Source organism: Homo sapiens, chromosome 19 (genome assembly GCF_000001405.40).
Source record: "Homo sapiens chromosome 19, GRCh38.p14 Primary Assembly".
Classification (NCBI taxonomy): domain Eukaryota; kingdom Metazoa; phylum Chordata; class Mammalia; order Primates; family Hominidae; genus Homo; species Homo sapiens.
In genome coordinates this window covers 13,015,292-13,038,897 of record NC_000019.10, presented here as the reverse complement: position 1 = coordinate 13,038,897, position 23,606 = coordinate 13,015,292, and the positions used below count along the sequence as shown (strand labels likewise).

Here is a 23,606-nt window from a genome sequence, read left to right as displayed (position 1 = left end):
TCAAAAGTTGGGCCTGACACACACAACGGGTAGCCCACAGCCCAGCTGATCCCCTCTCTCTGGCCAAATCTCTGGTGCAGACCAGACCACTGCGCCACCACCACCATCCTGGCCTTCATCTGTGGGCCCTGTCCGAGGCCAGCAGAAACGATGACCCAGTTGGCCACGCTATGCATGTGGTCAAGGCCAGAGGGCGCCAAGTCAACTGCAGCCAGGTAGTAAACTAAACAGGCACTAAAGGCAGGTGAAAAACAGTGTCTGCTATGCTTTCATGATTACATTTCACATATGCCGGGCTAAACGGAAACTTCTATAAATGACATGAGAACACTTAGAACCTAGATTTCTGTAAACTCCATGTGCCAGAATAGGATTTGGCTCTCTCCTGCTCCTGCCTCATTTGTTTCATTTGGGAAGCTTCTTTGGGTGGCAGAGTCCAGCCCTGGTCACTGGGTCTGGGAAACTGGCTTTTATGGAAGTGAGTTCTCACCCTGGGACTGCTACGCTCAGGAAGCCCCAGGAGCCGCAGTGGCCTGTTCAGGTCTATATGGGAAGAGGTGACCTGAAAGGCAGGGAAAACAGGCAGGCTTTGCCTTTTAGAAACTCTTTGGTAGGCAATAAGGGATAGGTATTTGATGATTTTTCCATTCTTTTTTAAATAACAGATGAAGGATCCACACCAATACCATACTGCCTGGCAGGGCTTGCTGTCAGCACTGTCTCACTTTGAGATGGCACTGTCTCAAAGGGTCTCTGAGCTTTGAGATGGGAAAGACCCTCTCAGAAGCCACACGATTTCCTAGAAAAGGTTTCCAGGCCACAGAACCCTAAACACAACCAATCAAAGCACAGAAAACAAGAGCTGCAAGAAATTCAGGAAGGCAGCCAAGCAGCCCACTCTGCTAGCAGAGGCAAGAGGCGTCCTGAGGAGAGACCACGCACAGCAGGGTCTGCTTATTCTCCCTCTAAGGCTGGGTTTCTCCACCTCCGCACTTGTGACGTTTGGGGGCGAGATGATTCTTTGTTCCTGGGGGACTGTCATATGCAGTAGACTCTTCCCACTAGATTCCAATAGCACCCTCCCCCCACAACTGTGACAACCAAAAGTGTTCACAGACATTGCCAAATGTTCCCTGCGGGACAAAATTGCCCTTGGTTGAAAATCACTGTTCTAGGGTGACCAACAATCCCAGTTTGCTGGAGACTGAGGGGTTTACCGAGGTGAGGGGCTGTGAAACTCTGAGCAAACCAGGACGAGTTGGTCATCCAGCCTTCTTCCAATCCCCTCATCTGCCAAAGGCAAATTTCCTCCTCTATGCTCAGGGCTATGAAGACTAGTTCTTCCCCACCCTATATGAAGCAATCTCCCATACACCTAAAAAGATTATATCCCACCTCATAGTTTCTTCTGGGGCCAGAATACTATCCTTGTCTCCTCTTTCTTCCCCAGGCGCCATCTCTCAGCGCCATTACTTCCACGAGGCTCTCTGAGATCCGCATCAAATTGCTCACATATTTCTTAGATTACTAAGGCTGAAACTGGCCTACTACGTCTGGTAGGGGAAGTGGTCATGCCCTGGGGAGGATATGACCGGGTGCAGAAGTCGGGTCTCCCTTAAGCAAGTGGCCCCAGAGCCCTGTAGAGGTCACCTGGGAGAGAGAAGGACAGGGAAGACTCTGTAGCTCCCCTCTTCTCCCTGACACACAGCCAAGGCTGGCAGAATCTGCTACACACAGGAAAGGGGACTTGAGACCCCCTAAAGATGAAAGGAAACGGAGTCTACTGCCTTGCTTCCCGTTGGGTCAAATACCCAAGGGCAGATGGCCTGTCTCACCCATTAAGGACTCTGCCCAGGAGACCTCACCCTGTTCAGCCCAGGCTTAGCACCCACCCCCAACTCAAGCTTCCTATCCATTTGCCTCCTCCCTTTAAAGGCCTTTCTTCACTTGGTCCCCCGGGAGCATTCCTGTTACTAAGGAAACAATGATGTCATGTGTCCGGGTGGGGCCGCAGGTCCCTCCTACCACCCCCTAACTAGGTACCATGCCCGCTGACGTCACTGCTCAGAAATTTATAGCCCAGCACGGGTATTTATAAGGTGGCTCTGGTGTGACCACATATTTGGTGTGGGGCTGGTGGCTATTTATAGCCAGAGGATATACACTTATTACACCCCCTGTCTGTATTCTGGGCCACCTGTTATATAACTGCCATTATGCAATAACGCCCATTATATAATAATTATGCGCTAATGGGGATATAATCTGCAGGCATAATAAGGACACACTCCCCAAGGGCTGCACTCGGCTGGCCTCCTGCAGGTCGCCTCCGGGGATCTCCCGATCGCTCCACACAGCTCCGCCCAGTCCACAAGAGTCACCAGGTGTCACCCTACTCTCAGCTGTCTGGAGAGCAGCCTTCTCCAGACTGGCAGACTCAACCGCAAAGCCCTCTCTGGATTCCCTCTCTGTCTCGTCCGGTTTCTCATTTCCACAGCCCCACCCCTGGCCTGGAGAGGACGCTCTTCTTCCTCTGCCACTCTTCTCCCTGCTGTATTGTTAAACCCAAAACAAACAATTATGATGAAATAAATCCTGGAAGCATGACTGACGCTTCATCCCCCCATTTTAAGAAAGGAAGCCTCCCGGACACGCCAGGCCAGTTGGCGAAGGGTCTACTCCACACGAAGGAGAGCCCTCGCCTTCCTAGGAGACTTGGGAAGTCGACTCCAGAGGCCAAGCCAGGTGCAGCCAAGCAGGATACTTCCCAGGGGCCCCTCCCTCCAGCCGCAGCCCCCTTGGTGGGGATCTCAGGGCAGGCTGAGGCTTAGGCCCTGACTTCTGTGGTCGGGGTTATACCACCAGCAGGAATCCCCCAGAGTGGGATCCTAACCACTCAGACACCAGTACATGCCCTGTTGGTCACTCCTCCCAGGAATGACACGCTGAAACTGTCACCTCAGGGAAAAGAAGACAGGGACATTGGCTCTGCACTTGGGATGATGCGGGCAAGGGTACAAAAGGCAGCGGGTGGGAAGAGTTAAGACCACAATGGCACTTGACGGAGCCAATTCAATTAGCCCAAACATACCATCTGCTCTTAAAATAGATACCTCTATATTTAAAAGTTACTTGATATATGAATTGATGAAAAAAATTCGAAGAACTAACATGGATCTGCGAAGTGAAGTTGTCTCAGGCACAGGACAGTAGTTTGGGGAACCTGTCTGTCTCTCACATTCTCTATTGTTAAATTTTTACAAAGAATGTGTTTTACTACTATAATAAAAAAAAAAAATCAAATCATTTAAAAAGAGTAGTACTAAGACCCAGACAACAGTTCTGGTCTCCGTGTCTCATGCTGCAGAAACAAACGTCTGCTGTTCTTTGGGGTCTGATACGGGCCTGACAGGATTACCGGTTGCTGCACAGGCCTGGGTCAGCCCAGTAGCAGATCCCCTGTCCTGTTCCCCAGATCAGCAGCCCCAGCACACAGAGACCACTATGCAAAAAATCAGAGAGGAATAACTCAGTAGGGGACTTGGAGGCAGGCTTACAGTTCCAACCAGGGGGAGGTGAAAGGGGAAAGCCCCCAAACTGCTTCAGCCCAGGGCTCTGCTATCCGGAAAAGCGAAAACAACACAGGACACACAGGAGTAGACGATGCTCAGAGGTTCAGTCGACATTCAACACAAGGTAAATGAGGACCTAAACTGGCGGTGAGGCAAGAGGTGAACACAGGTGGCATTCTGTCTGAATCCCTGTTTCTTCCAGGCCAGAGGTTCTCAGCCATGCATGATTCTGTTCCCAGGGAACTCTTAGAAATGTCTGGAGATATTTTTGGTTGTCACACCTTGGGGAGGGAGGTGCAACTGATTTCTAGCGGGTCAAGGCCAGAGATTCCGCTAAAACTCTACAATGTCCAAGACAGTCCCCCAAGACACAGAATGATCTCACTCGAATGTCAACAGTTCCGCAGTTGGGAAATGCTGCTCAAGGGGAGCTGATATCAATGGTGAGAGGTAAGCCTCTGTCTAATTATCATGGACACAGACGAAAATCTAGAGCGGTGAGCCAGCCTCTCCCTGAACCCAGCCTTAGTCATGCTAGGAGAGTTTTTATATACACACCCCGAGAGTTTTCCAACTTTAAGAAAGGGATAAAGGTGAGAGTCAATGTGAAGAAGTGAAAAAGGCAATGAGTAGCAGATTATTGTAAAACTTCCAGCGATCACCTGGTTAATTATGATAATTACATTCATTTTTATTTCAAACTGATTCCAAGGACACTCCCAGGAAAAGGGTGTGACAGTGCAAGGATCAGGAATCCCAAGGTCTAGCAGAACCTGCCTGGCCTCACACCTAGACTTCCTGCCTCCTCTACCTGAGAAGGTCAGGTGGGATCCCTCCCCCATGCTCCAGGGAGATATGAAAAGAAGCAGAGCTGGCTGCAGCAGGGTGAGAGCATCCAGCCAACCTGGCCCCTGTCTATGCTAGACTCAGCCCGTCTATGCTAGCATGCTGCCTCTCGAGGTTGGTGGCAGGGATCCAGGGAGCCATGGCCTGTCAGGAGGGAGGGAGGCCAGTGTCAGGACAGGGCCAGGTGCCCATTCTCTGTTTCCACCCCACATACTCAGCCACTGGGGGAGCCCTTGAGCTGAGCCGCAAGCTGGGCTCTCTTCTAGAGAGTGACAGAGACCACAATGATGAAACTGGCTCCAACAGGGACCCTTGAGGTTTTCTCCTCTGAGACTCTGCCAAAGCCAGTAATCCTGATGAAGTTCAAGGAGCAGCGATGCCCTCAGAATGAGCTCCAGGTACTCAGTGACCTAGAAGCCGGCCCCTTCTGCCAGAAACTCATCATGTGACCAGAGTCCCCTGTCATCTCTGTACTTCGGGTCCTCCTCTGTACAGTAGATACAATAATACCTGCCCTGTCTATATCACTCAACCATTGTGAGGAGGGAATCAGCTCCAGGCACACTGAGAAGGCTCAGGCAGCTGACAAAACGAGCTAATTCCTCACTGTCTTTCAAGGTGCAGGTCAAGTAGGTCGTCTTCTAGGAAGCCTCCCTGGTCCCCAGGTCTGGTTTGCTGATTCCTCACTACACATATTATGCACATCACCTGAGTGCACACACACCCAGCCAGGAGCACAGGCTTAAAACTAGAATCAGGGTGAGAATTCAGGGAATTAATACATAGAGAGGACTTAGCCTGGTGCTAAAGCCATAGAGGGCCTTCAATGGAAAAATGGAATTAAAGCAGGGGATAGAGACCAAGGGCATGCCCACAGGGGACAAGAAGTTGTTAGGAGCCTGGACAAACAGGTGCCCCTTAAGTTATTGGGTGTCCCCAAATAACAGCTAATAAGTACCCTGTACTGGGGTGGTGGTGGCATGCCATGTCATCAGTAAGGCATCAGGAGTGAGAGAAGAGCCAAGATGCCCCCTACTGATAGTCCATGGCAGCTGGTGGTGAAATAAGTCACTTGGGAGACAGACCCATAAAGGGCAGCCCCAGAATATTTTTTAAATCCCCAAAGGGCCAGGAAATAAGGTACGAGATATCCATTATAGACAAAGTAAGGGACCCAGGCACCTGGGGGGTAAGGTCCAGTCCAGCCAAACTTCTCCTCCCTAGGCCCTCCTCCTCCTGGGACCCTATTCTAACGCCAACAACCCTTAAACTCAAACATGCTTAAAATGGCGACGGCGGCCTGCAGGGCCGGGCGTTTGTCGTGCTGTTTTCCACGGTGCCCTTGGTGCCAAGAAAAACCTATCATCAGAAATGCCATCAGCTATATTTATCTATCTCTCAGCCCCCCAGCCTCCTCCTCCCGTCTGCCAACCAGGCCCTGTGAGCCCCCCCTCACCCAATGGGCACACTTCCCTGTTGCTGATGCCCGTGACCACCTGCCTGAGTCTCGGTCTGTGGCACTCTCTTCCCAAGCCCTGACAATTAGGCCTCCATACAGGCATGTAAACCAGCAGGCTGCACCTCTTCTTACTGGGATATAGGGACGTGCCCACATGTGTTAAGGTACGCACCCCAACAGGCACTGGTTTGGGTGTCTCTTGTTCGAAACCTTGGACAAACATGGCCTTCCATTTCTTTTTGGCCTCAACTCCCTACTCACCAAGGTCTCAGCAGCACTGACCTGCCCTCAAAGTCCAAAACAAGCTGTGGGCCCAGGTCCTCTGCACACCATTCCCAGGAAGACACCTAGCTGCTCTATAAACCTCTCACTCCCTCTCCCTCATTCTCTGATTTAGGGTGGGAAGCCCCAACCTGTATTCTGAAGTACTGAGTCTCCAAGAAGTGTGTATGCTAGTAGAATCCCTTCAAAGGCGGAATCTGGGACAAAAAAGGAAAAATAACAAAGTCAAAGTTCACAACTGTGCAAATCCACAGCTGTGAGGAGTCCTCGAACGATGCAACACACAGGGGAATGTCATGTGCCAGACACCTCAGACCTTTCCTCTACCCAACAGGCAGGGCTGCCCTTAGGCCTAGCACATAAGATCTGCCCAAAGTGTTTGTAGGATGAATCAATAACTATATTTAAACCCCTACACCTCCTCCTGTCACCCTGGGAGCTCCACCCAACCCTCCACTCCTACACTAGCCCTCTCTTCAGAAGGCTGCCGTTCAACTCTGAGCCCCCAACTCAGAAAGGAGTTCCAGGGAGCCAACTCCTCTGAGAATGAAGCAACCCAAATAAAAATTTTAAAACCCAGAAGCTCTTTCTCTCCTGCCCCCCTCCCCCTCCACTGGCAAATGAAAACAAACAAGAAATCAAAGAGGCCTTTTGTGCGAGCACCGCGCTGACACGGCTGGGGCCTTTGAAAAGACTTCTGAATCGGACACTGAAGGATAAAATAACTGAAGCGTGGCAGCTCCTGAGACAGAAGGGCGGGGGTGGAGGGATGGGACGGACAGGGCAAAGAGAAAAAGGGGTGGGGAGGGAGTCACCTTCTTCCCTAGGCAGAAAAGGGGACACTCAGCTGTCCCCTCTCTGCCCAGCTGCTACAGGAAGCCAGGACAGAGGGAGAACGTAGCACTGGCCTCATTACCCCTTCTAACCCACTCTTCCTCTGGCATCCCAGGTCTCTGTAACACTAGAGGGTGGCCAAGAAGGACCTTGCCTCCCAATTCACAGCCCACTGTGAGCTATCCCCCAAATAAGGCCCTTTGGGCTTTCCCTCCCCTCCAGCATGGGTCACTGCAGGTTCACGCCTACGCCTACGGGAGGAAGCCTTCTAGAAGATATCATCGGGCCTTTACCCAAAGCCTGCCAGGTACACGCAAGATTCTCTTATTCTTAGAGATCTAGGAACCCCTAGGCCAGGACCTTGCTCACAGTAAGTTGACTAAGTGTGCATTTCATGGATAAAGGGAATTCTACCATGCTTTGGAAGCGCCAAAAAGTAAACCAAGTTCTCAGGAAGTCCTTCTGCACGTCTGGACCCCAGCCCTTCTGCTGCAGAGTAGCCCTGTTTCCTCTGGGTCAGCAATAGAGCACGGCTGGTCACCATGCCCATAATTATGGGATCAGGCCTCTAGGTCCCCTCTGGCTTGTTCACGGTCGGCGCTTTGCTGGCTCAAGCTCCGACAAAGGTGACTCTTTTTTCCCCCATGTCATAGCCTCCAATTCAGCCAGCAGAGCAAGCACTCTACTGAGAAACCCCCTGCATGTTGTAGGCAATGGGAGCTCTTGACTGGTTGGGTGGACAGCACTATGAACAAAAGGGACAAGAGCAGGTGGTCAAAGGAGTCTGAGAATAAGACCAAGCCCAAGCATAAGGATTGGGTCTGGGCATTTCTGTTCTCCTCTTTGGGGTCATGCCCCGCTCTGAGGCCAGCCTGAGCCCCATCATTATTCCACATCACCCAGACCCAGCACCCCAAGTTGTATTAACAGACACGAATGTCCAAAACAAAGGTGGCCAGGGCCAGCTTCACGGGTGTGCAACTTGCGTGCCCCCCACGCTTGGTTAAATGCTCTAACTGATGTCGTGCTGTAATTCCTAAAAATTTTGAACAAGGAGCCCCACATTTTCATTTTGCACTGAGCCCTGCACAGTATGTAGCTGGAAGGCCCTGAAAATTATGTAGCCACCATGGCTGGCTAGGATCTGATCATGCTTGGAGTTTCTGTGTTCAATTCTGAACACTCCAGTTTCAGAAATTTTATGAATCAGAGGGACCAAAACAAACCAGAGGGCTTCCAGGAGGTGGTTACCAAAATGGCAAGGGCACTAGGAGCCATGTGAAATGTGGGAGGCATTAGGGACTGGTGATATTCAGGCTGGAGAGGAGACAGCTTCCTGGGGAGAAGGGTGGAAGGGAGACATAAGAGCTGCCTTTGGTATTTCAAATGCTGTCCTGTTACAGGAAAATCAGCTTTCACCTGGGTCATCCCTTAAGAGAAAAAAAAGACCAACAAGTAAAGGTGACAGAGAGTCAGCCTTGGGCTCCCTAAATCATAACAATTGTCCTCAATCACAGCAGCTGCCGTCCTGCTATGTGCCGGTATCTTTACATATTAGCTGGTTTAATCCCTGGAACCATCCTACAAGCTAGACATGGAAGAATGGAAGAATTTTACAACCAAAGCTGACCTTTGAATGACAGTGACACCTCTTCTGGGATGTTCTAAAGGGGACCCTACATTGGGTTAAAAGATAATCTGTAGATCCTGCTAATTTTAGGCGTCAGTTCCAGGGCCCTGCGATCTTTGTCAGCCCTGGCACCAGATGGCGCTGCCTCAAAGACGCAGACCAGTGGCATTTCTGGGCCTTGAAAAAGGAGGCAATGGATGAGGCGGCACAGGGTCCATGGTGGGGGTGGACCTGGAGAAAGCGGCGGGTGCTCCTGTGGACCCTCCCACATACTCACCCCAGAGCCAACAGTCGGGTTGGGCATCCAGCAAAGGCTTGGGGAACCTCGCTGGCACCAGCCCCGTCTTGGCAGTATGGACACAGCTGAACAATGCCCTCCACCGCCAAGGAAGGACGTGGATGGGCAGCCCTCCCTCAGACCTGAAAACTAGTGCCTGCTACAAAGCCCCAAACCCTAAACTAGAGTGCCGAAACCAAGAAGCTCTCATACCTGAGAAGGCAACCCCACAGGTGAAAAAGTTCACTTAGACAAATCTTCAGGTGCTAACCCATTTCCTGCGACAGGTAAGGCTAAGCTCAGCTGTCCCGGGACCTGAAGGTAGGGAGGGAGGGGAGGCCGAATCTGCTCTCAGAGCACCACACTCACTGAATCACTCGGGGCAGCGCAGCCTGCAGAGTCCAGCTGAGGAAACCCCACAGGACAAACAACCTGTTTCCTTCAACGACAACAACAATGACAACTGCCAGAAAAGAAACCAAGACTAAGGAAGAGGAAGAGGAGAAGGACTACCTAGAGATTATGATGAGTCTTTTGAGACTGATCAACCCATCGCAATGCAGGACTGACCCCATCTGGATCCTGATTCAAACAAACTATAAACAAAAAATTAAGTGATAATTAGGGAAATGTGAACATTAACCAGTATCTGATGATACTAAAAAAAAATGCTGAATTTTTAATGGGTATAATAGTGGTATTGTGGTTTGGTTTTTCAAGAGTCCGTATCTTTAGAGATGTGCACAAAAACATTTACAGATGAAAAGCTATAATGCCTGGATCTTCTAAATAACTCAGCATGGGTGGGCAGTTGGGAGGATGGTTGAATTGAGATTGGCCGTGATCTGGCGATTGCTGGCACTAGTGGTGGGTACACAGGAGTTCTTTCTATGTGGGAAGCTCTCCATCATTAAAGAGTTTAGATAAAGAAAAGAGCCACCACTCAAATACCTGGACTTCGTGGGGATTCCGCTGCAGGCGCACAGGAGGGATCTGACAGGGTGACGCTGACAGTTCCATTCGCTCAAGTATTTTGTTAGCTTTGGATTTTTTTTTTTCTTTCCTAGGACCAAGGCTTAGGTGTCAGGGAAGGTCTGAAGGCACTGGTTCACCTTCAGGGTGCTGCAGAAACTTTGGAGATAGTCTAGCAGCGGTTCTAGGCCAGCTCGGCCATCCTTTCTCACACAAGCAGAGATCTCTCTCCTGGCCCTCCCCAGCTCACCCGTCCCTGGCCACCTGTTCTGGGATACCCGCTTTGAATGGAAGGATATCACCAGGAAATGGATACCCTCCTCCCCACGGCAGTGCTCTCTGACCCTGCCCTGCCTCAACCTCCCTTCCTAAACACAGACAGACACACAGACAGACTCCTTCCCAGCAGGAAGGCCAGCCGCATGGCAGCCTTTTGGACCTAGTATTCTGTATTTGGACCCAGTATTCTGGGAGTGGAGTTTCAACGCCAAACACACGTCCTTTATTCCCTCTCGAACATGTCATCTCTTGAAGCTTCATCTGGGACATAACAAGGGCTCAGGAAGGCCATGGGTGACAATGGCACCTGGGAGCAAAGCCACACCCCCACATTTACCACCACATCACCGTTACTGTCATGAAACCCAGGACCCCCAGCTCAGCCCAGATCTGGCTCTTCAGCCCTGTCTTAAGAAAAGGAAAAACACTTATTTCAGAGTCCAAAGCAGCTCTTGTCTGAGCCTGTGCCATCCCGGCCCCTGTCCCCAGTTTATCATCCTGGAAGGAAGGAGCAAGTGGCAGCTCTGCTGAGTGTGCCTGGCAGGCATGGGCATGGAGAAAGTGGTGCCCACAGATCGATGCTCTTTGGTGGCTCAGCCACAGAAGACATTTTCTAGCAAAGCAAGAAATGTTTTTATTTCTTGCCAGCTCAAGGAGGAAGCAAGCCATGCCTGGTCTGTGCCATCTCAAGACCACCCAACCCAACTCCAAAGAGGAACAAGTGATGCAGCCCACTGGTGGCCCGGGCTGCGCCAACTCGCCTCAACTCACTTCAGGAAGGCACACTCAAACTAAAGCAATTCCAGTGAGAAAAATCCTACCTTCACTGAAATTATCTGGAGTCTGGGGCCTGAATGATATAAAATACACCCTTAGTTCCCTACTCTGCTTTTGTAGAGGAGACTCGGCCTCAGCCCCAGCCCAGAGAAGTGGCCTCGGCTACATGGAATGGGGTATGAATTCACTCATATTCCTGGGCGAATGATCTCTTAAGCTGGCAGGGAGGCATGGTGGGGCCTTTCTTCTGGCCAGGAAACGGTCTGCTTCCTCACATACTTTTCATCCTACCTTAGCCCCACACTGGCAGCAGTCAAGAATTCGGCCTAAAATAAAAGAGGCCAGGGAAACAACTCAGCTACAAGGATCCAGTCAGAGAGCGGGGTTGGAGGAAGCCAGCTCAGAGGAAGATGAGTGTTGATTTTCATCTTAGATGCTCTCGAGCCCCTGGTTCTAAAATTGGAAGGTGCAGAATCCCCTTGTGCAGGAGTATCTGATGGCCACACTGGTAAGCTCGAGGCTCCGAGCCTTCTGCAAGCCACCAGTCACCTCCAATACTACCAGGCACACACCCTCCCAAATCTGGCTTGCTGTATAGACAGAGAATGAGGGGATAACTTTTTTTTCCCTCTCAGTCTGTTTTCCAAAAAGAAAAAAGACAAAAGAAAAAATTCAAGCTGAAGGGAGGGGGAATGACTGGCACCTGGCCCTTCTGCATGACGGGTCACGATGGTCACACAGGGCCGGATGCAGGCCTAGAAAGATCCACAGAAGTAGGTAGAGACTTGGGGGGTGAGAGTGGTGTCCCCTGCTTCTAACCAGTTACCAAAGCAACCTCTCAGGACAAGAATTCCAATACCACCTTCTCCTCTCCACAGTTCTCCAACATGTAAACTCAGGGCTCACTCTAGTCTAGATTACATTCCTGACGCAGTGCTGAAAGCACCCCCAAACCCGAATTTTATTTCTGGATCCAGTTATATCATTCCTCCCAACTTCCCAAACAGGCAAGGGGGTGACCACAGCCATTGTGAATCACTTTTCTTTTTTGTGAATGAACAGGAAGAAAGACACAGAGACACACACTCGCGGAGAAACAACCTTTGCGAGAGTTGAAGTTAAGCCACATTCTCTCAAATTCGCATAAAGAGAGGAAGAAGGAAAATGAAGGGGAAAAAATACTGGAATGGTGGAAAGGAAACACACACACACACACACACACACAGAGAGAGAGAGAGAGAGAGAAAGGTTTGGTAGCCCTCTCATTACAAGTTGGTTGGGCATAATGTAAACACACTTCTGCCTTGCTTAATCACAGAGTGCCGCCCGTTTAGGTTTCAAAGGCGGCAGTAAATTGGGCGTAGCTGAGTGGAGGCTAAAAATTAACCAGCCATCTCTGTTTCAATTTGTAAGAAAACAAAAGCGGAAAGAAATTATAAAAAGGGAAAGGGTAAGGGAAAAAAGGAACAGAGGAGGAGAACTAAACCACCCTGACCCAAAATGCAGGGTAAAACTGGAAAAGCGAAGAGAAGCAGAACTACTTGGAACACAAAAGGAAAAGGAGATTTTACAGAGTTTTTTTTTTTTTTGGTTTGTTTGTTTGCTTGTTTAAGACCTCTTCCACAGCAACGCTGCTCCCTGCCATGCCTGTGCCCCGAGAAAGCCTCTCTGCTCCCCAGTGCCAGGGCTGTGGGCATCCATCCTGAGGCCTTGCCACTTTAGCTGAAATAAGGAGAAGGGAAAGAGCTCAAGGAATCTCGTCCTTGTTTTCACTCTCTATGAAATCAAATTACTTTCATACTGACAGCCAAATCCCAGCCAAAACAGCTCCCGCCTGAGTATTTAGGCCACAGAATCTGCCCACTACTGTCTTCTCTCCTCTTTTCTGTTCATTCAGTCTCATATCCCAGGGTTTCACATGCCCCTTCTCTCCACCGGACTCCTGCCCATCCCGCTTGTACCAAACCCAGTTTTTCCTGGGACTGGAGGTGAAGCTGCAGTAAAACTAGCACCTGCCCCTCAATACTTCTTCTGACTCATTTTAATAAGAGCAATTACTGGTTTGCTGTTGTTGTTCATCTCAAACTCTCACCATCATGGATAATTCTGGGGGCATCATGTCCCCAATCCTAAGACCTGCAGCATCTTTCTGATCAGATAAGTCCTCCAAAGATGGAGATGCACAAAGTCGATACCATGGCCAGGGGGCAGAGGAGGAAGAATAGAACAGGTCGGGGGAGACAGAAGACAGGAAAAAGGAAAAGGGCCCATAGAACCGTGTTGCAGGCCCCGCAGGACGGGCATACACCAGTTAGGCCCATGGCGAGTTATCGCTTGGAAATTAGAGGAACAATAAACAGAACAAATGCCAGCAAGGAAAATAAAATGAGAGGGAAAAATGGTTGAGAACGACCTACCCGGAGTGTGGACAAAGTAAGCCAGATAAAGATCCAGTTCTTTGATTGTGACTCCAATGTGATGTGGCTGGACGCACAGGCCGGGGTTCGAGCACTGAGGCGACTTGTAGAGCCGCTCCCCATCAGTACTTTCCAGGGGGATCCCCTTAAACAAAATCACCATGACCAGGTCCAGCCGCCACACCTTGTCAGCCTGGCGCAGGCAGTCAATCCGCCGGATCTTGCCCTTCTGGTCGGGGTTGGAGAGCACGCAGCAGGGGGGCTTCTTGCCCGTGATGGTCAGCACGAAGTCCTCGCGGAACTCGGGCCGGATGTCCTTGCGCAGCTTGGCCAGCAGCCGGGATGCCCACTTCTGCTTGATCTCGGGCTTCTCGCCCAGCAGCTCGTCCTTCACCGCCCGCTCCTCGTCCTTCGACATCCGCTTTTCATGCTTCTTGAAGTACTTGCGCTTCCGCGCCTGCAGGTTGAACCAGGTGTAGGAGAAAGCGCGGACGTGAGGCAGCAGTGCCTCGATGAACGGGTGGAACTCATCCTGCAGGCGGCAAGCCGGGAGCATGCGGGGCGAGGGAGGACGGGAGGAGGGGAAGACGGGATGAGGGGGAAAGAGAGAAGGAGAAAAGCAGCGTTAGAAGGGGGGGCACAAGGAAAACCGCCTTCTCCTCCTCCTCCCTCCCCCCAACAATTTTCTCTTGCGATTGTTCTACGAAAGTGTGGTTTGAAGCCACCACCAGCTTCGCCAGCCACTTGCTCCCATCTCAGCCTCAGCAGCCAGACAGAGGCACCGGGAGCCTCTACACACACCTATTCTCTCTCTCTCTCCCTCACTCACTCACACACACGCGCACAGACAACGTTGCCGTCCACACACACACGCTGCTGGTATCCCCGCCAGGCTCTGTCGCGCCCATGACATCTCCATGTTCTATCGCAGCCGTGAACTCCTGTCAGCTCGCCCCGGCACAGTGTCCGTCTGCACAGACGCCCGTGGACGCACACGCGGGGGCGTGCGGGGCCGCCTCTGGTCCCCGACACCGGTCGATTTTTGGCCGCCCCCAAGAAGACAGAAAATGACATCCACGAGCAAGCGAGTGAGGAAACAGATCAGGCTTCCCTCTCCCCAGGCTGTTTTCATTTTCTTTTCTCCTGATCCAGTTGGAACATCCACCCCAACATTTTTTAATCAGACCTAAATCCTAAATATGTGATTTCAGCTTTGTTATCGACACCAATACTAATGTTAATCACAGTAATAATGAACAAAACACTTCTTGTTAGCACAAATAAGGTGCTTGTCTCGGCCACATTAGGGTTAAAAGCTACATGGGTCTTCTTGCGACCCCTTCCCCAGCCTCCCACAACCCCTTCACCCTTTTTCCCACTCAGTCAGGTGACAGAAGGATGGGCTCTCTCGGTTTTGTTTGGTTTTTTTTTTTTTTTTTGGTTGTTTGCTTGTTTGAAGTTTAAATAATAATTGATTTCTGTTTACAAAAATAAAACTGGAAAAAATTAAATAATTACCATTGATCTGAAGCACCCGGCAAAGCCCAACGCCCGATTCTGAGATTCTGGACTCAAAAGAGTTGTGAGTTGGGGGCGGGTGGGGGGAGGGGGGAGGAGGAGGAGCAGGGGAGGAAGGTAAATGTTTTAAAGGGGGTTATTATTGGTGTTCTGGGGAATAGGGGCCGGGCTTGGGTGGATTCTCAAACCCTTCCCCCTCCTCCCCCCCCCCATGCTCCATTGCACAGAAGGGGGAAATTAATATTTTTTTTGAAAAGGAGCAAAAAGAAAGAAAGGTCAGGGATAGCAAGCAGAGAGAGGGAGCGAGCCGGCTGCCACACACGCCAGGTAAACAAAAGCCAACAAAATTTTTTTTTCAATTTCTTCCCCTGTGCATCCTCTTCCAGTTTAAAAAAAAAAAAAAAGAAAAAAATGCAAAATTTAAAAATCAAAACCAGCCTCCCACCATCTCCCCACAACCAACAACGCACCCCACCCCACCCCCGTGCAAAACAAAAACAAAAACAAAACCCAGGAGGGAAAAAGCGGCAGCTGAAGAAAAAGGCTTTCGGCTTTGGCAGCGGCACAGGGGTGTAAACTTCGAGCTGCCTGATCGGAGGAAAAGGGGGAGCTCGCAGATTCCCGGGGAAGAGGACGAGTTCTGACCGGCTGCAGACCGTTGCTGGCAGACGCGTGCAAAAGAGAGAGAGGGAGCGAGGGAGGGAGGAAAGGAAGAAGGGGGGGAGGGAGAGATCGAGGATCGAGGGAGGACGTGGATGGGATGGGGCGTGTGTGTGAGTGTGCGCGTGTGTGTGCGCACTGGTTGGGTTTTTGGGGTGTTTTTTTTTTTTGCTCCTTTTCTCTCTCTCAAACTCCCTCTCTCTCTCTCCTTTCAGGCTCAATCCCCATCCATTTGCTTGTGCCAAGCCAGTAAAAAGGGGTGGGGGGAGAAAGAGACAGAGAGAGAGAGAGAGAGAGAGAGAGAAAGAGAGAGAAGGATCCACCTATTTGGCAAAGAGACATCCACGAGCAGCCAATGGCTGCGTCCAAGGGGAGGAGGGAACCGGGCGAGCAGGGAGGGTGGGGAGAGCCCCCGGCAGTTGGAGACCAAAAACAATTTGCCCAATCGACAAGTTCACGTCTAATGAACAAGCAAAGTCCAGCAGTTATGAATTTTTCATTCCAGGCTCCCACTCGGGTCCATTTGGCAGCAGCCACCCAGCAAATCTGGGGGTGGGGTGGGGCATTGGGGGGGACTGGGATTGTGGAAGACTCGAAATTTTTTTTTAAGCCTGAAAAATAAATAAATAAAGGCCTGACTCCCGGCGGGCTGGCGGGCGGGAGCCCCAGAAGGCCTTGGGGAAGCAGCTGCGCCTTCTCTCTGTGTTTTGGTTTCAGTCTTTCTCTCGGGCCTGCACACTCTCTTTTTCTGTTTCTATTTCTTTCTTTCTTTTTTTTTTTCTTCCTATGGAGCACACAGGGGCGAGTGGAAGTTTTCCTCCCCGGCCACATACACACGGGCCTGCGGTGCTATGAATAGAAATAAGAAGAAAGAGAGCTCAGAAAGTGTCCATGCCAGCAGTACTTCCAGGGCAGGGATCTGGTGCCCAGGGTACTGCCACCTTGTGATGCCCCCAGGTCTGGCTGCTGAAGGAGCACTCTCAGACAAGGGGGAGGCCAGCACCCCACACGTCCCTCCCTTCTCCCCCAGCCCCCAGCAAGCTCAGCCTCCTCCTTCGGCCCACACCCAGCCACGCACACTCCATTAGCGGTGACGAGGGATGCCAACGCAACACAGCTCGGCTCGAGAAACTGCAACAGTTTATTAAAATAGCCTCCTGTCACAGCACTCCGCCTGACAAGCTCTACACGCAGCCACAAACAACAGCCAGACCCGGGGAGAAGTGACAAAGGCAAAAAGATGGACACTACCTCTGAGCAGAGGCAAGGAATCTGACCAACGCCCCTCACCACTGCACAGGCATTTAATTCTCCAGATCTGCCCTCTCCAGTTGACCTGAGATTAGTTTTCTTACCTGTCTCCCAAATCAATTTAGACTAAAGAGCCCAAACCCTAGCAGTGCAAAGTGCAAAAGTATAAAATGAGAAACCCAAATGAAAAGAAAAGAGCTAAGAAAGGACACAACAAAAAACAGCAAAGGGCTCTATCAAAAACAGGCCACCTGGGGGAAATCAAGTCACAGAGAAGTGACCCACCGGGGAGCCCCTGCTCTGGTCCTCCACTTGGGGACCTTCCTCACAGCAAGCAGAAAGGGTGAGCACTGGGTAGGGGAGTCCCACTTCTGAGGGGGTCTCTCCAGTTAGAGCTATGGAGCAGCCATGCTTGAGGCCTTCGAAACACAGTAAGAAGGAAATAGATATGACATAAAAGGAAAAGCAGAGGAAGAAGGATGTGGCTGCAGACAGGGAGAAAGGGATCCAATTCCACTCAGAACCCCATCCCTACAGCCGCCCTCTCCCTCAGCGAGGCTCAGTCCTCAGCTGGCGACGGAAAAAAGGTCACTGCTCACTCGTGCCCCTTTCTTCCCCAACTGAAACCCTGTGCTTTGTGGCCTTTATGTTGGCAGAAAGGTTCCCGGAAGAGCACCTGGGGCATGCCAAAATAAAACATCCAGCCCTGGGCTGGCGCTGAACCCTGACAATGGGAGAGGGGCTGCCCAACACCTGGGACCCCAGTCTGTGCCCTGAATTATCCATCTCAAGTGAACTGAGCTCATGGCTGATCCCTGAAAGAAACGGTTAGAGGTGAGAGTACAGAAGGCAGGTGGTATCAGAGACAGGCCTCTTAGGGTGGTGTCCAATAATTCACATCATGTTAATAACCAGCTTCAGTCCAATCAGCCAAAGATGTTAGCTCAGAGACATGACATAAGGTACCAAATCCTGCCTCTCCACCTTGTGGAAACAATTTTACCTTCTAAAGTCAAGATGAGGTCATTAAAAACTACAAGTGAGTTTATATTTGGCATGGAGGTGTTTTTCTTGTATTCTGATTTATACTAAATATTAGACACCAAACAGAAAATGGCCAACACGAGCCTCCTGGAGAATCCTGGCATGTTCCACTTCACAGACCACAGTGCCACAGTAGAAGAGACATGCTCGACATGGGTTGAATCTGAATCTGGTGGTACAACTGGGTCAGGGATAGAGGTGGGGGCAGCAACAGTCCCACAGCTGGGAAATGACAGATGGAAGGATCCATGTAGAAGTTAGGGAAACAGGACAAGATGCACGACTGGCTCCTGGAGAGGGGTTGGGGGTCAAAACTCCACGGACTGGCGGAGAGATCAGAGGAGAGGCGGCAGAAGAGTGTCTCAATAGAGCCTCAGGGACCTACAAAGAGCCCCAAGCACCCCCTCAAGGCTCTCTTAACAGAAGAAGCAACAGGCCTTTCCCAGGGCAGAAAGTTGGAGGAAGAACAATTGTCAATTGTCCTTCTCCTGCCAGTGGCTATAACCTTGCAGGTGGGCAGAAGATTCTCAGGCAAATACTTTCCCCTCACCCCATTCTCTCTATGGGCTGCTGGCTCCCAGTGGAGGAGGCCTTTCTGGAGGAGTGGCCAGGATATTCTGATGCTTCGGGAGATGAGAAGGTCTCTTTCTCTATTTCTCTTTCCTCCCTCCCTCCCTTCCTCCCCTCCTATTTTGGGCGCACACAGAGGAATTGCTCGGGTTCCATTAGAAACATTTCAAGCACCCTTCACTGCGGGCCCCCTCCTCCTGCATGCCACTGGTGGCGGCCATCAGCCCAGACACGCCCCTCATGAGCCCTAGACAAAAGGAAACTGTCCCCCTTTTGTTAAAGAGTGGAGGCTCCTGTTGGAAGATTACCTGTTCCCAGCCCAGCCTCCTTCTCTTCTCCCCTCCAGCCCCAGGCAGGAGATCAGACCGCTTTACATCCTGCACCAAAGACCAGAATCAAGACAAAAAATCCCTCATACGATTCAAGGCTTCTCCAGGTCTGAGTCACTGGCAAGTGTAAGAGTTCAGGTGATGGAAAGAGCAAGGGGACATGCAGGCCACAGAGTAGAAGGACATGGGAAATGGGGAAAGGAAGCCACTGATGCTGGTAATAGGAAGAGAAAAAAAAAAGACAAGGGGGGAAAAAAGGAAAAGCAGGAAACATTGTGGGGGAAAGGTATTTCCCCCATTGGAGAGAAAAATCATCGAGAAGCCAGAAATAAGACTTTTTAAAAATTCATATGGGTTTTTGGTTTGTGGAAAGGGATTTTGCTGCCATTATGGAAGAAAAGCCTCTGTCTTTTATTGTTGAGTACTATTTGGTAAAAAAAAAAAAAAAACAAACAAACAAAAAAAAAACCAGCAACAGTTTTCACTGAAACATTTCTAAAATACATACCCATGCCAGTTTCAGCCATCACTAGGAGAAATGTACCCCCAACAGAAAAAGACTGAAAGGGCCACGGAGAAAGAGAAATAGAGAGAAGGAGAACGAAAAAAGAGAAAAAAGCCAAACCTGGAGAGAGAGTGCCAAGCTAGGCCCACAACTGAAAAGAAAGAAGGACAAAGATGGAGGGAAACAGAACAGCAGAGGAAGAAAAATAAGAAGACAGAAAAGGGCTCTGCACCGCGGCAGAGAAAGAAAAACCAGTTAAGGAAAATGACTGCTTCTCCATGAGAAGAAATGCATGGTTTTCAAAAACTCTACACAACAGACCTGTCCACTGAGCCTGTATGGATTATTTGAAGAAAAATAGGAAAATATGTACAGCACCTCACTCACATATACAGTGTTAAAAATTCTTCAAGGAAACAAAATAATCTTCCCAGACTGAGATAGGTTTTGCAACCTGCCCGCACCTACCTATAGTGAAACATCTAGAAGCATAAGAAGTTGTATATTTTAAGACAGGGCCACTTTTAGTAGCCTTCTTTATCTTAAAAAAAAAAAAATCCTATGTGTCCACATCCTGCTGGCTTTAAGGCCCAGATTTATTCTTTCAGATCCTGGACACTTGGGCCCATGTTGATCTGGGTAACTACAGGCAATTAGAGCAAATAACTTACAAAACTTCACAGAAATGACCAGATATTCCAGTATCCATTTTAATAAAGCATATCTGCAGCCTGGGTATGAAAGGACATGGGAAATTAAAAAGGCCATAAACAGGGCCCCAATTAGTTTGCCCAATTGTTGGAATTTTATAATTCAGCCTTGGTCTGAACCAAAAGAAGCCGGCTTCGTAACCCTGAGCTCTCCCACCTTGTCCCAAGATTACTGCTGCTTCGTGGAAGGCCACAAGAAGACAGTGGCCAGACAGCGGCCAGAGATGGGAAGGGAACTGCAGACATGACGCAGCGGCAGCACTGGGCAGCCAGGGAAGGGGCCCTGCTGCTTATCCTAGAGGAGGGTGGGGCCTCCCCTCAGTTGGGGGCCAACGAGAAGGGGCTCTGTAGTCAGAACAAAATCATCCAAAAGTCTGGAAACTCCAGGAATGGAAACCGGAAAATGCACTTTGCGAGGGAGCTCGGATAATTTGGACAAAGCGGGTTTTTGGCTGACTTGGGCCTGTTTTCCTCTGCTCAGGAAAGGCGGCTCTGCGCAGTTTCTTTCCAGTGTCCTCATGCTGGCTGAATGGATTCGCCCCACACCCCAGTGCTGGGTCTAGGACAGGGTCTGCCTCACAGCCAGGCCGCACACTTCTCTCCTGTAAACCGCGCCCCCCCCCCCCCCCCGCCCCTTCCTTTTCTCCTCCAGACTACAAACCAGGAGCGGTGGCCTGGGATCGGGCCAACAGGCAGCCTCGTTCTGGCTCCAAATGCTCCTCTGCTCCAGGCACATCTCCCTTACCCTCTTGGCACAGAATAATATAGGGTAGGAATGGGGATATTAGGGGAGACAATCTATTCTCTCTAAGGCAACTGGAAATTGTTTACTTTCATCTCATCCTCTACAAGGAATGGGAAACAAAAATCCTACTCTTTAATTCATTATTTAGCTTGAAACTTCCTTGTGTCACCAAACAGAAGTAAAAGCCAGGAAGGCCAAAGCTCTCTTCTCCAGCCGGCAGGCTGCATGGGGATGAAACCTTCCGAAGTGCGTGAAGGACAGATGACAGGGAAGGGCTTCCGGGGGCAAGGGAAGTGCAGAGCCTCACACACCTAACCGGCTTGGGAAGTGTCACTTCATGGTGGCCAAGGGCCCGGGAAGAGGGAAGAACTGCACAGGCCAGCTTCATAACTCTTTCTGAAGAAGAACTGAAAAAGTGACAAAAGGCAAGGCAAAGAGAGACCAGCGCGTGAAGATGAGGTCTGTGCCCAGCACACTGTGAAAATATCTGGAAGTCGAGAGAGAAGGCCAGAGCAAATGGCAAAATGCTGAAAACTCACCCCAGGCACCACAGCAAATCCCCTCCTTCGGAGGGGTCAGGGCAAGGTGACAAAACCCAAAAGGCAGAGGTCTTCCCAGTCCCTCTGCAAGAGCTCCATCAGGATCAGTCCAGACACCCCCCTTCATTTTTTACCAGTTCTGTTTCCCCCGCCACAGGAGAGACAAGGAGCAAGGAAGGATTTCTCCTCACCACCTGCCCTCAGATCGGCCTGGCACCCCTCGGTCCTGAGGGAACCTCTTTCTTGCAATTGCTTCAGCCACAGGCAGTGGCCAGAACCCCAAAATGTACAATTTTAGGAGTTAGAAAGAGGTCATTTTTCAATTCCTCAAAATGTATTGCTCCCGCAACTATTTTATTATCAGGATCATTGCCCAGGAAACCCAAGAATCCACATTTCCCTGGTGTCTAGCCCCTGCAGAGAATGACACCGGGGGTGCTTTGAGGAGCTCGGACCATGCCCACCCCTCGGCCACGCTCCGTCCCTCCCCGGCTCCCTTTCTTTCTCACCCTCTCTCCCCCTCTGCGTCCTTCAGCTCCAACACAAACTGTTTGCACGGGAAGTCTCCCTCTATGACCCGATTCAGCACACACAAGAGAAAACTGTGGGCGACAGACCCAACGTCCTAACGAACTTGAGTTAATTAATGCTAAGGAAGAAAAGAGGCGCCCTCGCTCTGTTGAATCACGGTTCACTAGTCCTTTCAGTTTGCTGTGGGTGGAGGAAAAAAAAAAGAGGCTTTTTGGTTCAAATATTTTTGGGGGGCGAAGAGAAAACAAAAACACCACAGAAGGGCCATGGAGGGCGAAGCTGTCAGTACCTGCCCGGAGGAGCAGAGGCTAAAGGAAGGAGCCCGGCAAGGGCTGCCGAGCGTCCTCCCCCTCATTGCTGGCCTGAGCAGTTCTGGGAAGACAGAGAGGGCGAAAGAAAAGGGAGGGGATTATCAATGGCTCCTGGGCCTGTTTAAATAAATCCCTCCAAAAATTATACTGTCAGACTACAAGATCCATTAAAAAAAAAAAAAAAACTCAAACCCAACAACCCAATTTGAACAGAGCCATGGAATTGTTTTAACAGTGCAGAAAACCGAAGTATAAATGGCAAGCGTACAAAAAATGTAAGTGTGCAGAAAAAAAAGAAGAGGTGGCAATGCGGGGGCGGGGGGCAGGGGCAGAGAGAACAGCTGCAATTTTGCTTTCCAGATGTTGACAGCAAAATGTAATTGGCAAGTAACTTACTCCTCACCATTTCTTATCCTTTAGCCCTGAGATGTTAAAATCCTACCTCTATACCTGTCTGTAGGCAGTTTTCAGGCACTCCACACATGTGGACGGGTCAGGATGCCTCGTGGACCACATGCCTGCTAGCTTTTATATCAGCCCGCTATTTTTTACAAGCCCTCCCACCATTCCTAGCAGGAAGGACTAAGCAAAGCAGGCTGGAGGAAATTTTTATTTAAATTTTTATTATATTTTGTAATGCACAGGTTTTTCTTTACCTTTGAGAGTGGGGCTTCTTTTTTTAAGTAAACTTTTTAACTGAAGCAAGGCAGGTATAAAAAGTGCACACACTGTAAGTTAGGCCGCTTGATACACTTTCACAAAGTGAACACACCCATGTAACCCCACCCAGATTAAGAAATAAACATTTTCAGCACCGCTGAACAAGCCTTAAATTTTTAAGCTATACAGTTCTCATAATTTATATGGCTTAGAAATACCTCCTTGTCACACCAGTATCATCAAATGCAAACACCTATGTGCATACACGTGTTATAGAGCAGAGTGTGCTATTCATGTGACCACAAAAATGTGTGGCAAATAGAAACCCCTCTCATCCTCACTGCTGCAGAGTGCGTGTGCGTGTGCGTGTGTGTGTGTGTGTGTGTGTGATCTCTCTATGCCTGCCCAACTCTGATCCCATCAACAGGGCAACCAACTGTGCAGCGGGTTTAGCAGACTAACAGGGCATGTATGGGGGACAAACAGGACCCGCCGAGCTGAAAGCCAAACAGCCTTAGTGTCTGAGGGGAGCAAGGGCCCCTCCTCTCGCCCTGCTTGCCTGGCAGGCAGGGAATGGGGGGCCTCAGTATGTAGGTCATGAAGGAAAATGACTCTGCAGAGCCAGGGGTTCCCAAAGGGAGAATGGGCACCCACTGGGATACACTGTCCCCATCCCTGTCCACAAGAACCCTGCAGGAAGGTGAGGGGAGTAGAATGGCATCAAGAGAAGAGAGCAGAGAGAGTGAGCAAGCGACACCAGGCTGGGCCTAGGGTCCTGGGGCGGGGCTGCCTCAGGAAGGGAGGCAGAACCCTGCCTCTGCCTACCCCTTCCCTGGCTCCAGCCCCAGCTGGTTCCCCCCTCACTTTCACTAGCACTAAATTTACTTT

General features: G+C 50.3%; 1 protein-coding gene across 14 annotated transcripts in view, besides 3 other annotated features; it reads right to left on the bottom strand.

Moving 5' to 3' along the window:
• Positions 1–23,606, bottom strand: part of NFIX (nuclear factor I X) — a 103,322-nt gene that overhangs the window by 59,899 nt on the left and 19,817 nt on the right. For 4 of the 14 annotated variants that reach the window (NM_001378404.1, NM_001271044.3, NM_001440616.1 and 1 more), the window contains exons 1-2: positions 14,864–14,926; positions 13,346–13,877 (exon numbers count right to left, since the gene is read on the bottom strand). In NM_001378404.1, the coding sequence (NP_001365333.1) occupies positions 13,346–13,877; positions 14,864–14,866 (535 nt within the window). In that variant the 5' untranslated portion in view covers positions 14,867–14,926. Of the gene's footprint in view, positions 1–13,345; positions 14,120–14,178; positions 14,320–14,863; positions 14,927–23,606 lie in introns of those variants that run through there. The other 10 variants (XM_005259917.5, NM_001365983.2, XM_047438863.1 and 7 more) reach the window with 5 other exon arrangements.
• Positions 13,190–14,009: an enhancer, noted in NCBI's record as "H3K27ac-H3K4me1 hESC enhancer chr19:13135703-13136522 (GRCh37/hg19 assembly coordinates)". NCBI's record gives its function as "activates a minimal SCP1, AML or CMV promoter by ChIP-STARR-seq in naive H9 embryonic stem cells {active_cell/tissue: H9 hESC(naive)}" and the evidence as "EXISTENCE:reporter gene assay evidence [ECO:0000049][PMID:30033119]".
• Positions 14,976–15,488: an enhancer, noted in NCBI's record as "H3K4me1 hESC enhancer chr19:13134224-13134736 (GRCh37/hg19 assembly coordinates)". NCBI's record gives its function as "activates a minimal SCP1, AML or CMV promoter by ChIP-STARR-seq in primed H9 embryonic stem cells {active_cell/tissue: H9 hESC(primed)}" and the evidence as "EXISTENCE:reporter gene assay evidence [ECO:0000049][PMID:30033119]".
• Positions 15,922–16,051: an enhancer, noted in NCBI's record as "active region_14103". NCBI's record gives its function as "activates an Ori minimal core promoter by ATAC-STARR-seq in GM12878 lymphoblastoid cells {active_cell/tissue: GM12878}" and the evidence as "EXISTENCE:reporter gene assay evidence [ECO:0000049][PMID:35858748]".